General features: G+C 40.4%; 1 protein-coding gene and 1 long non-coding RNA gene across 4 annotated transcripts in view; one reads left to right on the plus strand and one right to left on the minus strand.

Moving 5' to 3' along the window:
* Positions 1 to 12,925, plus strand: part of SANBR (SANT and BTB domain regulator of CSR) — a 72,162-nt gene extending 59,237 nt beyond the window's left edge. For all 3 annotated transcript variants that reach the window (NM_001330433.2, NM_001330435.2, NM_032506.4), the window contains exons 21-22: positions 9,030 to 9,169; positions 12,357 to 12,925. In NM_001330433.2, the coding sequence (NP_001317362.1) occupies positions 9,030 to 9,125 (96 nt within the window). In that variant the 3' untranslated portion in view covers positions 9,126 to 9,169; positions 12,357 to 12,925. The remainder of the gene's footprint in view (positions 1 to 9,029; positions 9,170 to 12,356) is intronic.
* LOC105374759 (uncharacterized) lies at positions 4,298 to 15,077 on the minus strand. The gene is made up of 3 exons (XR_940137.1): positions 15,040 to 15,077; positions 10,756 to 10,868; positions 4,298 to 4,334 (listed from the first exon to the last, which is right to left on the minus strand). It is a non-coding gene; the product is annotated as an uncharacterized LOC105374759 (long non-coding RNA).
* Between the last annotated feature and the right edge of the window lie 431 nt (positions 15,078 to 15,508).

The raw sequence follows: 15,508 nt of genomic DNA on the forward strand, positions 1-15,508 counted from the left end.
CTATTGGGGAAGATGGTACAAGAATAATATTATTCCACCCTTATAAGATTTTGGGGCAATTAAATAAGTTAATAGATCTAAAACAACTAGCACAGTACTTTCTGGCCTATAGTAAGCCCTCCATAAATGTTTGCTATTATTGTTGCATTGTTATGTTAACATGTGGAAGGTAGCCTAAATTCTTTGAGAGTTTCATATCCCTTTTCCTGTAACTTGAGTTAAGACTGTGTATGTGTGTGCGTATATGTATTTAGTGCAAGAAAGGAGGCACCTAATACTTTTCGTGGTTTCTATGGCATCATTTGAAACTTACAAGCAAATCATATCAAATGTCTTATTTAGGCAAAGTAAGTGGCATTTGTAGAAAGAGCTAGGTAAAGAATACTGTTTCCTGATACGTGGTAGGGAACTATGTGGTAGGGAGCTATGCTGTTTTCAAAGAGGCTTCAACTGAAGGACAGTAAGTGAAGGCCATAGCAAAGTCTAACAGCAGCTCTCTTTCTAAGATGTATCTTTCCTTGAGAAAATATAGCCAGTTTGCTTCTTACTATTTGTTCATGAACACAGCCAATTCTTACCAAACTGAAGGTGATGGTCCTAGTAGTTGCTATTTGTTGAATGCTTTGGTTATGCTAAAGATCATGCTCCTGATACATTCCTTATCTCCTTTAGCCTCACAACGCCCGCCCCCGCCACCAAATTGGGCATTATCCTCATTTTACAGGTGGAAGAGAACATTCAGTGAGGCATAGTAAACTACATACTGGGGTTGGAATCTGGGTCTATCAATACATTCCAACACCTTCTTGAAATAGTTTTCCCTTGGGTTGCCTGAAAATTTTCTCTTAGAGGCCTCCTGCCTCACTGGCAGCTTCTTCAGACTGAAAGCAGGCAACTCGAGTGCACTTTCGGTAGTTTCAGGCTTGTTTACTCAACTGCTTAACATTTGTACTTGGAGTACCAGTAGGTATCTCCAACTTAATTAACATAATCAAAACAGAACTTGTGATATCTCTTCCCATTCCTGCCCCCAAACTCCCTGCTTATTCAAACCCATTCTTTTCCAATTCAGTAAATGGCATTATTGCCTACCGAAGTGCACAAGGCAAATATCTAGAAAGTATTCCTTATTCTTCTCTTTTCTTCACATCTGACATTCAATTTATCAGCAAGTCCCATACGTACTCCACATCCATTTGCTTCTATCTCCACTATCACCACCCCCAGTTATTAACATCTTTTTCATGAAGTACTACAAATGCCTCATAAGTAATTCCCCAGCTTCCATTTCAACTTCTGTATAACTTGTGCTCAAAGCGACGTTCGTGATTTTTCGATGTGGCTCAGATCACATCACTCCCCTGCTTAACACTAATAGCATCCCATCAAACCTAGAATAAAATCCAACCTTCAGGCCGGACGCGGTGGCTCACGCCTGTAATCCCAGCACTTTGGGAGGCCAAGGTGGCCAGATCACGAGGTCAGGAGTTTGAGACCAGCCTGACCAACATGGCAAAACCCCATCTCTGTTAAAAAATAGAAAAATTAGCTGGACGTGGTGGCGGGTGCTTGCAATCCCAGCTACTTGGGAGGCTGCAGCAGGAGAATCACTTGAACCCGGAAGGTGGAGGTTGCTGTGACCTAAGATCGTGCCACTGTCTCAAAAAAAAAAAAAAAAAAAAAAATTCCAACCTACACTAGTCCTACATGGCCTACCCCCTGGCTGCCTCTCAGACTTCATTTTCCATCTTATTTACTACGCTGGAATATAGTAAGTCATTCCCACTTTTCTGTTCCTTGACATTAGCCATTCCCGCTGTCTAGAAGGCTGTTATAATTCAGGTTTTAATTTAGATCTTACTTCCTCACAGGAGGTATTTCCTGTGTGCTTAGTATAAAATATTCATCCAAGTCACTCTCATCACATCCTCATAGTTTATTTCTGTGCATAACTGACATTATTACTCTGATACTTTCCTTCCTTTATTTGTTGGTTTGCAATCTGTATCCCGTGATAAAATGTGAACGCCAGAGCAGAGACCTGGTCTTCTTGACTACTGCTGTGTCCCCAGTGCCTAGAACAGTGACTGGAGCAGCTGACACTAAAAACCTTTCCTCTGGAGTTCATATTTTTGGGTGGTATCTCCAATATCTGGACTGTCCCCAGCCCGGCATCATTTTAATCTGCACCTGTTGGAGTTTCAGCAGATAGAGGCCTTGTCACAAATACCTTGTCATGGGTTCTCAAGATCAGTTTGTCTGTCACCCTATGGAAAGATACACTAGATTAGTTTGATGTAGGCATGAGTCCAGGTGAATTCTGCTGAAATCTGGGTAGCTTCAAGTTCTGAGCAGACTAGAAAGTTAAATAAGCTGACCTGATGGCCACCCTTTTATCTCAACAGTATATTAAACATGAACACTTGGATAAGTAACCACTGCAGCGTTTTATGGGGAAGATGCTATGGAATTATGAGCATCTCATAAGCTCACCAAAGTGATTAGGTAACTGTTTTCCATCCTTATATTTTTCCCACCTTTTCCCCACTTTTTTCTTTGTCTAAAAATAACATTATAAACAGAAAAAAAGAATGAAGAAAAATGAACAGAGCCTCAGAAAAATATGAGACATCATTAAGCTCGCTAACATACATCTAATGGAAGTTCCAAAAGGAGAGGAGAGAGAGAAAGGAAGATAAAAAAATGTTTAAAGAAATAGGGGCTGAAGACTTTCCAAATCTGATGAAAAACTTTATACATCCAAGAAGCTCAACAAACTCTAAGAGGTTAAATGCAAAGAAATCCACAAACACACATTATAGTAAAAAATGTGCAAGGACAAGGAGAAAAGCTTGAAGAAGCAAGAGAAAAATCCTTACTTATGGCCCAGCACAGTGGCTCACGCCTGTAATCCCAGCACTTTGGGAGGCTGAGGTGGGCGGATCATGAGGTCAGGAGATTGAGACCATCCTGGCTAACACGGTGAAACCCTGTCTCTACTAAAAATACAAAAAATTAGCCGGGCATGGTGGCATGCACCTGTAGTCCCAGCTACTTGGGAGGTTGAGGCAGGAGAATCGCTTGAACCCGGGAGGTGGAGGTTGCAGTGAGCTGAGATCACACCACTGCACCCCAGCCTGGGTGACACAGCGAGACTCTGTCTCAAAAAAAAAAAAAAAGAATCCTTACTTACAAGAGAACCCCAGTAAGATCAACAGCTGACTTCTCATCAGACGCAGTGGAGAACAGAAGGCAGTGGATAACAGCCCAGGCACAGTGGCTCATGCCTATAATCCAGGCACTTTGCGAGGCCAGGGAGGGAGGATTGCTTGAGGCTAAGAGTTCAAGACCAGCCTGGCCAACATAGGGAGACCTCATCTCTACAAATAATTTTTTTTTTTGGAGATGGAGTTTTGCTCTTCTTGCCCAGGCTGGAGTGCAGTGGTGCGATCTCAGCTCACTGCAACCTCCACCTCCCAGGTTCAAGTGATTCTCCTGCCTCAGCCTCCCAAGTAGCTGGGATTACAGGCACCTGCCACTATGCCCAGCTAATTTTTTGTATTTTTAGTAGAGACGGGGTTTCGCCATGTTGGTCAGGCTCATCTCAAACTCCTGACCTCAGGTGATCCGTCTGCCTCGGCCCCCCAGAGTGCTGAGATTACTAGCGTGAGCCACCGTGCCTGGCCTTACAAATAAATTTTTTAAATAGCCAGACATAGTGGCACACACCTGTAATTCCAGCTACTTGGGAGGCTTAGGTGGGAGGATCACTTGAGCCCAGGAGTTGGAGGCTGCAGTGAGTTATAATCACACCACTGCACTCCAGTGTGGGAGACAGAGGGAGATCCTGTTCCAAAACGAAGGAGGAGAAGGCAGTGGGATAACATTCAAAGTGCTCAAAGAAAAATCTGTCAACCAAGAATCCTACATTCAGCAAAAATTGTCTTTCAAATATGAAGGCAAAATGAAGAGATTCCCAGATAAACAAAAATTGAGATAATTCATTGCTAGCAGACCCACCTTACAAAAAATACTAAAAGAAAGTTATTGAGGCATCCGGGCACGGTGGCTCACACCTGTAATCCCAGCACTTTGGGAAGCCAAGGCAGGTGGGTCACCTGAGGTCAGGAGTTTGAGACCAGCCTGGCCAACGTGGTGAAACCCCATCTCTACTAAAAATACAAAAATTATCCAGGTGTGGTGGCAGGCACCTGTAATCCCAGCTACTCGGGAGGTTGAGGCAAGAGAATCACTTGAACCTGGAAGGCAGAGGTTGCCGTGAGCCGAGATCATGACACTGCACTCCAACGTGAGCAACAACAGCGAAACTCCATCTCAAAAAAAAAAACAAGAAAAAAAGTTATTGAGGCTGAAACAAATGACTCTAGACAGTAATACACACACAAAGCATTAGTAAAGACGACATGCATATTTCTTTTCTTAACTAATTTTAAAAAGCAATTGAATATGTATATAATTTTATTGTTGGGACTATACCAAAGAAATGTAATATATTTGCCAATAACAGAACAAAGGAGGTGGATGGGAGCAAAGCTATATTGGACTAAGGAAATGACTCCCAGTGGTAATACAGGAACAAATGAAGAGAACCAGAAATGAGAAATAAATTTGATGCAATAAAAGCTATAAATATGTATTTATAGGCTAATGCAATAAAAGCTATAAATATATATTTATAGGCTAATGCAATAAAAGCTATAAATATATATAGGCTAATGCAATAAAAGCTATAAATATATTTTTTCTCCATTTTCTTCCCTCAGCTTTTTAAAAAAGTATAAAAGTAAAATTATAACAATGTGTTACTGGGTTTGTAACATATGTATGTATAACAATACCACAAGAGGAAACAGGGAATGGAGCTATATAGGAATAATATTTCTATATCTCTTTGGAATTTATTATAAATGTGAAGCAGACTCTGATGTTAAGATGTATGTATGGTAATATATATAATTTTTGCTTTCTCCATGCTTCCTATCTTTTCTGTTTCTTTATTCCTCTTTTACTTTCTTTTGCATTAAGTAAATATTTTCTGATGTAACATTAATTTTTAAATGATTTTTTACTATATATTTTTAAATTATTTCCTCAGTTGTTGCTCCAGGCAACAACTGGGATTACAGTTTATAAAGGTGTACTGTGAACAATTGTGTGCCAATAAATTGGATAACTTAGATTAAATGAGCAAATTATTAGAAGGACACAAACTACTGAAACTGACTCAGAAAGAGAAAATATGAATAGTTCTATAACAACTAAAGACATTTAACTAACTGTCCAACACTACCTACAAAGAAAAGCCCAGACATCACTAGACAAAGGTATCACAAGAAAAAGAAAACTACAGACCAGTATCTCTTATGAATATAGATGCAAAAATCCTCAACATACGCTAGCACAATCCAGCAACATACAAAAATAATTATACTCTATGACCAAGGGAGATTTATTCCAGGAATGGAAAGTTGACTTAATATCTGAAAATTAATGTAATACACTGTATCAATATAGTTTTTTTTTTTAAGTTTCACAATCAGCTGGGCGTGGTGGCTCACGCCTGTAATCCCAGCACTTTGGGAGGCCGAGGCGGGCAGATCATGAGGTCAGGAGTTCGACACCAGCCTGGACAACATGGTGAAACCCTGTCTCTACTAAAAATACAAAAATTAGGAGTGGTGGCATATGCTTGTAATCCCAGCTACTCAGGAGAATTGCCTGAACTTGGGAAGTGGAGGTTGCAGTGAGCCGAGATCACACCATTGCACTCCAGTCTGGGTGACAGAGCGAGACTCTGTCTCAAAAAAAAAAAAAAAAAAAAAAAAAAAAAGTCTCACAATCATCTCAATAGATGCATAAAAAGCAATCGACAAGCCCAATATTCTTTCATGGTAAAAAACATTAACAACATAGAAGGGAACTTCCTCAACTTGATAAAGGACATCTACAAAAACCCCACAGCTAACATTACACTTAATGGTGAAGAACTGGATACTTTCCCACTAAGATCAGGAACAAGACAAGCCCATTCTCAACATTTCTATTCAACATTGTACTGGAGGATCTAGCCAGAGCAGTTGGGCCCAAAAAATGACATAAAATGCATCTAAATTGGAAAAGAAGTAAAACTGTATCTATTTAGAGATGACCTGATCCTGTATGCAGGAAATTCTATGAAATCACTAAAAAAAATTAGGACAGATAATTGAGTTCAGCAATACTTCAGGATATAGGATCAATATGAAGAAATCAACTTATTTCTATATAGTAGCAATGAAAAATCTAAAATTGAAATTAAGAAAACAACTTTTAACATCAAAAAATTAAAGGCCTAATGATAAATTTAACAAAAGAAACAGAAAACATTCTGAAAACATTCAAATAAAATATTGTTGAAAGAAATTAACATCTAAATAAATGGAAAGACATTCTATGTTCATGGATCATAAGACTTAATGTTATTAAGATGGGAGTATTCCTCAACTTAATCTACAGATTCACCACAGTCTCTAGCAGAGAGACTTGTGAGAGACTCTCTTCCTTGTAGAAATTAACAAGCTGATTCTAAAATTTATGTGAAAACTCAAGGGATTCAGAATAGCCAAAACAATTTTGGAAGACAACAAAGTTAGAAGATTTACACTTTCCCATTTCCAATCTTACTACAAAGCTACAATAGTCAAGACAGTGCAGTACTGGTATAAGGATAGACATACAGATCAATGGAACAGGATTGGGAGTCCAGAAATAAACCCACATTTCTATGGTCAACTGATTTTCATCAAGGGTGAAAAAGAATAGTCTTTTCTACAAATGGCACTAGGATAGCTAGACAGGCTAATGCAAAATAATCAAGTTGGATCCTTACATCACACCATATGTAAAAATTGATGCAAAATGGATCAAAGACCTAAATGTAAGAGTCAAAACTGTAAAACTCTTACAAGAAAGCATAGGGGTAAATCTTCGTGACCTTGGATTTGGCAAGGATTCTTAGATAAGACAATAAAAGCACAAGCAACAAGCAAACAAATAAATAAATTGGACACCAAAATTAAAAACTTTTATGCTTCAAAGAACATCAAGAAAGTGAAAAGATAGCTTACAGAATGTGAGAAAATGTTTACAAAGTATGTATCTGATAAGGAAACGTGTATCCAGAATGTATAAAGAATGCCTACAACTCAACATTTAAAAGAAAAATAACCCAATTTTTAAAATGGTGAAAGACTTGAATAGACATTTTTCCAAAGAAGATATACAAATGGTCAGTAAGCGCATGAAAAGTTGCTCAACATCATTGGCCATCAGGGAAATGCAAATCAAAACCACAGTGAGATATCACTTTAACGCTCAGTAGAATGGCTATAAGCAAAAAGCTACATAACAACAAATGTTGCCAAGGATGTGGAGAAATTGGAACCCTCTACACTGCTGATGGGAATGTAAAATAATGCAGCCACTTTGAAAAGCCACCTGTCAGCTCTTCAAAAAGTTAAACATATAGAGTTACCATATGACCCAGATATATACGCAAAAGAATTGAAAACAGGTACTCAAACCAATACTTGTACACAAATGTTCATAGCAACACTATTCACAATAGCCAAAATGTGGAAACAACCCAAATGTCTATTGACTGATAAATGGAGAAAGAAAATGTCGTATGTCTATACCGTGGAATATTAATCAGTCACAAAAAGGATGAACCTTGTAAATATTTTGCTAAGTGAAAGAAGCCAGACACAAAAGATCACACGCTGCATGACTCTATTTATATAAAATATCCAGAATGGGTAAATCCATAGCAACAGAAAGCAAATTATAAATTGTTAGGGACTGGCCAGGTGCAGTGGCTCATGCCTGTAATCCCAGCACTTTGGGAGGCCAAGGCGGGTGGATCACTTGAGGTCGGGAGGTCAAGACCAGCCTGGTCAACATGATGAAAACCAGTCTCTACTAAAAGTACAAAAATTAGCCGGGCATGGTGGTGCATTCCTGTAATCCCAGCTACTTGGGAGGCTGAGGCACAAGAATCGCTTGAACCTAGGAGGTGGAGGTTGCAGTGAGCTGAGAACACGTTACTGCACTGCACTCCAGCCTGGGCAACAGAGCAAGACTCTGTCTCAAAAAAAAAAATTCTTCAGGACTGGAGAGAAGAAAATGTGACTGCATAATGGATGTGTGCATAATGGATGTGTGGTTTTTGTTTGGGGTAATGAAAATGTTTTGGAGCTTGATGAAGGTGATGGTTGCACAACATTGTGAATGCACTAAATGTCATTAAATTGTACACTTTTGTTAATTTTCTTATGTGAATTTCACTTTCAATAAAAAATGAAGGCTGGTCATGGTGGCTCATGCCTGTAATCCCAGCACTTTGGGAGGCCAAGGAAGGAGGATTGCTTGAGCCCAGGAGTTCAAGACCGGCCTGGGCAACATACCGAGACCCTATCTCTACAAAAAAAATTAATAAAAATTTTAAAAAGGAATGAAGTAGATATGTGCTACAACACGGATAAACCTTGAAAACATGCTATGTGAAAGAAGACAATCACAAAAAGTCACATATGATTCCATTTTTATAAAATGTCCAGAATGGTCAAATATATAGAGACAGACAAGATTAGTGGTTGCTTAGGGAAGGAGAGAGAAGAATGATATGGGCACCTGGGATGATAGCTAAAGGTTACAGAGTTTCTCTTTGAGGTGATGAAAATGTTCAAAACTGATTGTGGTAATGGTTGCATAAGTCTGAGAGTATACTTAAAACCACTGGATTGTACCATTTAAATGGGCGAATTGTATGATATGTGGATTATATTGCAAGAAAACTGTTTCAAAAAGGCCAGTATTGCATCAAATTGCATTTGGGTAATAGAAATATAACCCACAATCTCACCAATTTATCCTAACAGCTACATCATTTTGTTTAATCTCTTCTTGTGTTTGCCTGGGTGTGTATATCCATCATGCATAGGGTAGTGTTATTATCTGCTTTTTTACAGACAGACAAACTGAGACCCAGAGACGGCACTGTGTCTAAGAGCAACAGAAAAAGTGGTTTGAGCAGTGTGCTCTTGATGACAGTGTTGCTGTGTTAAACGAATTAATACATGAAAGGACTTGGAATACTGCTTGACATATCGTAAGTGCTCAAAAATGTTAGCTATTATTAGTAGACCACATGAAAGACTTTTAGAAATAACTGTATTGTGCTTATTCCCATTTTTGGCTTGGCTCACGTTATTCCCCCACCTAGATGGTTGCCTTTTGTTTGCTGCCTATTGAAATTGTTCCCTTGTTCAAGGCCCTGCTCAAATCTCCTCTTTCATGAAGCTGCTGACCTCTTCTTTCTGTGTGGTATTGTGCTCACAACATTGGCACACTTTAGCAGTCTCATGTTCTCATTGTTTTGTTGTTATTGGTCTTGTTTCTGTGACCAGCTCTTCTGCTCTATTAGAAATATTAGAAATATATTGTTGGCCAGGCACGGTGGCTCACGCCTGTAGTCCCAGCATTTTGGGAGGCCAAGGTGGGCGGATCACAACGTCAGGATTGAGACCATCCTGGCCAACATGGTGAAACCCCCGTCTCTACTAAAAATACAAAAATTAGCTGGTGGTGTGGTGGCACATGCCTGTAGTCCCAGCTACTTGGGAGGCTGAGGCAGGAGAATTGCTTGAACCTGGGAGGTGGAGGTTGCAGTGAGCTGAGATCGCGCCACTGCACTCCAGCCTTGCAACAGAGCGAGACTCAAAAATAAATATTTTTTTGGCTGGGAGTGGTGGCTCACACCTGTAATCCCAGCACTTTGGGAGGCCGAGAAGGTGGGCAGATCACCTGAGGTCAGGAGTTCGAGACCAGCCTGGCCAACATGGTGAAACTCCGTCTCTACTAAAAATACAAAAATTAGCTAGGTGTGGTGGCACGCGCCTGTAATCCCAGCTACTCAGGAAGCTGAAGCACGAAAATCTCCTGAACTCGGGAAGGCGGAGGTTGCAGACTTTAGTTCATTTTTGAATGGCAGATATAACTGTTGGTTGTTTTAATCATGGCACTTTTATGTGTCTAATATATTTGCCCAAATTTAAAAAAATTAAGAGAAAGAAATGTAGGCAACTGTCAGAATTAGTATATATCACGAACAAGTACTTGAAGGGATCTCTCAAGTGTATTCATTTTTAGCCATGATTAGTCATATAATACCATAAGTATATGTAGTTATATACCAAGGGAAGAAAGCTGACTCTTCCCAGTAAGTGATGGAACTGAGTACTTTTAAATGACATCTAGTTTTGTCCAATGAATAAGAGTTAATGCCTCTCTGACAGTGGCTCTGGATTTGGGCCTAATGACAGCATTTTTTAGAGGTAACCAGGTGACTCTGTTGTGCAGACAGGTTGAAAACTATACTGTTATGTGACATGATAATCGTTAAAAGACCAACACTGTAAGCCACAGCTAGAAATGTGTTCAGGAGCATAAAAAAATCAGGAAAGCATAGATTCTTTATACCAGAGCACTATCATTAGGTGGTGCTAAAAGTGCAGGAAAACCACATTAAGCTCTAAGTTTGGCCTGCCTCAGCCCACGTGTATATCATTTGTAGAAGGAAACAGAATACTGGGAAATAGCTGATAAGAGAAATTATAGCTAAAATACGTAGGGAATTATAGAAAGCAAATATGAAAAGGGAAAGAAAGCAGAAAAAGAACAAAGAAAACCACTTACAAGATGGAGTTTAAATCTGATGCTCTTCAGTGCCAGAATTGCCTGTTTTCAGAGTCATGCTTTTGTATATTAATAACACAGGTTCTCTAAGCATTTAGAAGTCTCTTATAGTTCTGAAAATTGAGAAAGGAAAAAAGTTTAAAGAGTCTAAAAAAATCAAGGTTGGGCGCATTGCCTCAGGCCTGTAATCCCAGCACTCTGGGAGGCCGAGGCGGGCGGATCACCTGAGGTCAGGAGTTCGAGACCAGCCTGGCCAACATGGTGAAACCTGTCTCTACCAAAACTACAAAAATTAGCTGGGCATGGTGGCACATGCCTGTAGTCCCAGCTACTCGGGAGACTATGGCAGGAGAATCACTTGAACCTGGAAGGTGGAGGTTGCAGTGAGCCAAGATCGCACCACTGTACTCCAGCCTGGGCAACAGAGCGAGACTCGTCTGAAAAAAAAAAAAAGAAAAAAGAATCTAAACAAATCAATATAAGTGATGGCAGCCAAGCGCAGTGGCTCACGCCTGTAATCCTAGCAGTTTGGGAGGCCGAGGTGGGTGGACCACGAGGTCAGGAGTTCAAGACCAGCCTAACATGGTGAAACCCTGTCTCTACTAAAAATACAAAAATTAGCTGGGCATGGTGGCATGCGCCTGTAATCCCAGCTACTCAGGAGTCTGAGGCAGGAGAATCACTTGAACCCGGGAGGCAGAGGTTGCAGTGAGCCGAGATGGTGCCACTGCACTCCAGCCTGGGCGACAGAGCGAGACTATGTCTCAAAAAAAAAAAAAGATGATGGCAAGCAAACTGATGCAAACTCTTAAAGAATACTGAGGCTAGGCTGGGCGTGGGGGCTCATGCCTGTAATCCCAGCACTTTGGGAGGCCGAGGTGGGTGGATCACGAGGTCAGGAGTTCAAGACCAGCCTGGCCAAGATGGTGAAACCCTGCACCTACTAAAAATAAAAAAAATTAGCCAGGCGTGATGGCAGGTGCCTGTAATCCCAGCTACTTGGGAGGCTGAGGCAGAGAATTGCTTGAACTTGGGAGGCGAAGGTTGCAGTGAGCCGAGATCACGCCACTGCACTCCAGCCTGTGCGACAGAATGAGACTGTCTCCAAAACAACAACAACAACAACAACGATAATAATAATAATAATAATAATGAGGCTCACACCTGTAATCCCAACACTTTGGGAGACCAAGGTAGGAAGATCGCTTGAGAATGTGAGACAAGCCTAGGAAAACATAGTGAGACTCCATTTCTACAAAAAAAAAATTAGCGGGGCATGGTGGTGTATGCCTGTAGTCCCAGCTACTCAGGAGGCTGAGGTGGGAGGCTCACTTAAGCCCAAGAGGTCAAGGCTGTAGTGAGTGATAATCATGCCACTGTATTCCAGTCTCCAGTCTGGGCAACAGAACGAGACCCTGTCTAAATAATAATAATAATAATAATAATGAAATGTTTCTCCTTTTAGTAAATATTTTTAAGTTGGCAAAACGACATCTCCTAAATATGTAAATTAAGGTATAGAGTACATAGCCTGCTAAACTCTGCACACTGTCTTTACTGTAGTTATCTGAAGAACTACCACCCTTTTTCTTCCTATCCAGGTGAGGCAGAGACACAAAGATATGGAAGAACATTGGACAGATTTACATCGATATATTAATTAAGGTGATTTCAGAGTTGGAGCAGGAGAGGAAGCCTTATAGATATTTTTTTTTCTTTTTGCTTGCTTGTATTTTCTTTTTAATTATTATTCAGTATTTCAAGTAGACAGAAAAGTACAGAGGATAATACAACAAATATCCAGGTACCCACCACCCAGCATTTTTACATAGTAGCATTTGATGTTTTGAAATAAGACATAAAACATTCCAAATACCCTATCACCGAGGATCCTGCATCCTCTTCTTTTCCCAGAAGTGAACATTTCTCTGAATTTGATGCTTATTATGCCCATGCATGTTGTTATACTTTTACTACATATTTTATGTAGCTACAGCATAATATGCTATGTTTACTTTATATAGTGACCTCATACTATACATATCCTCATGCAATTTTTTAGACTCTGTTTGAGAATTATATATTTTGATTCAGGTAGCTTAAGTTTATTTTAGCTACTCAGTAGTAATGTATTCTATTAATCTACTAATATATATTTCTTGTCTATGGACATTGAGGTTATTTTCAGTTTTTTCTTTAATGTTGTAGCAAAAACTTTCACTCATTTTTCTTGTGCCTACATGGGTATACACATTGTGAACTTGACTAAACATTTGCAAAAAGTTTTCTCCGGCGTTGTACCAGCTTAGGCTCACAAGCAGCATATGAAAGTCCCAGTTGTTCTGTTTCCTCACCAAAAATCGGGGTTATATCAGTCAGAATAACTAAATTATGCTACAGTAACACAATCACAAAAATCTCAGTGTCTTAATTCAACGGTCTATTTCTTCTTCATGAAGTTTTGTTATCATAGTCACTCAGGGACCAGGGCTGATGGAGCTTCCATCCTGACACCTGCTTCAATGAAGTAGGGGAAAAAACTGACTAAAGGGCTCAAATTTGGCTCTTCCCAATTTCTGCACACAAGTGACGATATCAATTCTGCTCACAATTAGTTGGCTCACACTTGTTTTAACAAGTCTTGTGACCACATCTAACTTCAAAGAGTTCCCACTCCTACCTTTAGGATCTGAATGTCTGTGAATGATGACTGCAGGTACTGATAAACAATACTTTTTCTAGTGCAGTGAGTATGAAATAGTCTCTTTATTTTTATTTATATGTCCTGATTATTTATGAGGTTGAACATACATTCATTAAGTTTGTTGGTCACTTATGTTTTCTTTTTTGAAAATTACCTGCTTATATCCTTTGCCCATTGTCTTAGTCCATTTATGCTGCTATAACAGAATACCCCAGAGTGGGTAACTTATAAAGAACAGAAATGTATTTCTCACAGCTCTGGAGGCTGGGAAGTCTAAGCTCAAGTAACTGGCATTTGGTCTGGTGAGGGCCTTCCTGCTGTGTCCTCACAGGGCAAAAGATGGAAAGGCAAGCTAGGTAAATGCTGCATGGAGCCCTTTTCCTTCTTTCCTTCTTTCCTTCCTTCCTTTTTCTTTCTCTTTCTCTCCCTCCTTCCTTCCTTCTCTCCTTCCTTCCTTCCTTCGTTCCTTCCTTCCTCCTTCCCTCCCTCCTCCCTCCCTTCCTTCTCTTTTTTCTTTCTCTCTTTTTCTTTCTTTTCTTCTTTCCTCTCTTTCTTTCCCTTTCCTTTCCCTTCCTTTCCTTTTCCCTTTCCTTTTCTTTCGTTTTTGACAGAGTCGTACTCTGTCGCCCAGGCTGGAGTGCAGTGATGTGATCATGGCTTACTGCAGCCTTGATCTTATCTGGCTCAGGTGATCCTCCCACCTCAGCCTCCCAAATAGTTGGGACTACAGGTGCACACCACCACATTCAGCTGATTATTTTTTTCTATTTTTTATTTTTTATTTTTTTGTAGAGACAAGGTTTTGCAATGTTGTCCAGGCTGGTCTCAAACTCCTGGGCTCAAGTGATCAGCTCACCTCAGCCACTCAAAAGTATTGGGATTACAGGTGTGAGCCACCACAGCTAGCCCTTTTGCCCTTTTTTTTTTTGAGATGGAGTCTCGCTCTGTCACCCAGGCTGGAGTGCAGTGGTGCGATCTTGGATCACCGCAAGCTCCGCCTCCTGGGTTCACGCCATTCTCCTGCCTCAGCCTCCTGAGTAGCTGGGACTACAGGCACCCGCCACCACGCCCAGCTAATATTTTGTATTTTTAGTAGAGACGGGGTTTCACCGTGTTAGCCAGGATGGTCTCGATCTCCTGACCTCGTGATCCACCCGCCTCGACCTCCCAAAGTGCTGGGATTACAGGCGTGAGCCACCGCGCCCAGCCTAATGCTCATATATTATTTATCTTTTGGCCCAGTAATGCAACTTCTAGGAATTTACTATGAAGATACAACTTGACAAATATAAAACAATACAAGCATAAGACTACTCATTGTAGAGTTATTTATACACAATAGCAATAATGTGGAAACAACTCAAATGTCCATCAGCAAGAGACTGGGTTGAATAATAGGACATCAGCACTCTGGAGTATTGCACAGCTATTAAAAAAACAAGGACAGGCTTTGCACAGTGGCTCACTCCTGTCATGCCAGCACTTTGGGAGGCTGAGGTGGGAGGAAAGCTTGAGCCCAGGAGTTCAAGACCAGCCTGGGCAACATAGTGAGATGTCATCTCTACAAAAAATAAAATTACCTGGGTATGGTGGCACATCCTGTGGTCCCAGCTACTTAGGAGGCTGAGGTGGGAGGACTGCTTGAGCCCAGGAGGTTGAGGCTGTAGTGAGGTGAGATCATGCCACTCAACCTGGGTGACAGAACAAGACCCTCAAAAAAAAAAAAAAAAAAACAGAGCAAGGACAATGATGATTTCTGTGAATTGATATGGAAAGAAAGAACTATATAGAGCAAGATAATTTTGTTCAAGAAATACAAACAAGACTCTAATAGATTCTCTTTAACAGTACAGTCCATTTACTATTTCAGTTAACAGTATGTTTACATTAGTCCAAAAACAAATATATGTATTTATTTTTGCAAAAAGAAACAGAGATGTAGCTGGGCATGATGGCTCACGCCTGTAATCCCAGCATTTTGGGAGGCCGAGGTGGACGAATCACGAGGTCAGGAGTTCGAGACCAGCCTGGCCAACATGGTGAAACCCC

The sequence above is a fragment of the Homo sapiens genome, chromosome 2, assembly GCF_000001405.40.
Source record: "Homo sapiens chromosome 2, GRCh38.p14 Primary Assembly".
NCBI lineage: Eukaryota > Metazoa > Chordata > Mammalia > Primates > Hominidae > Homo > Homo sapiens.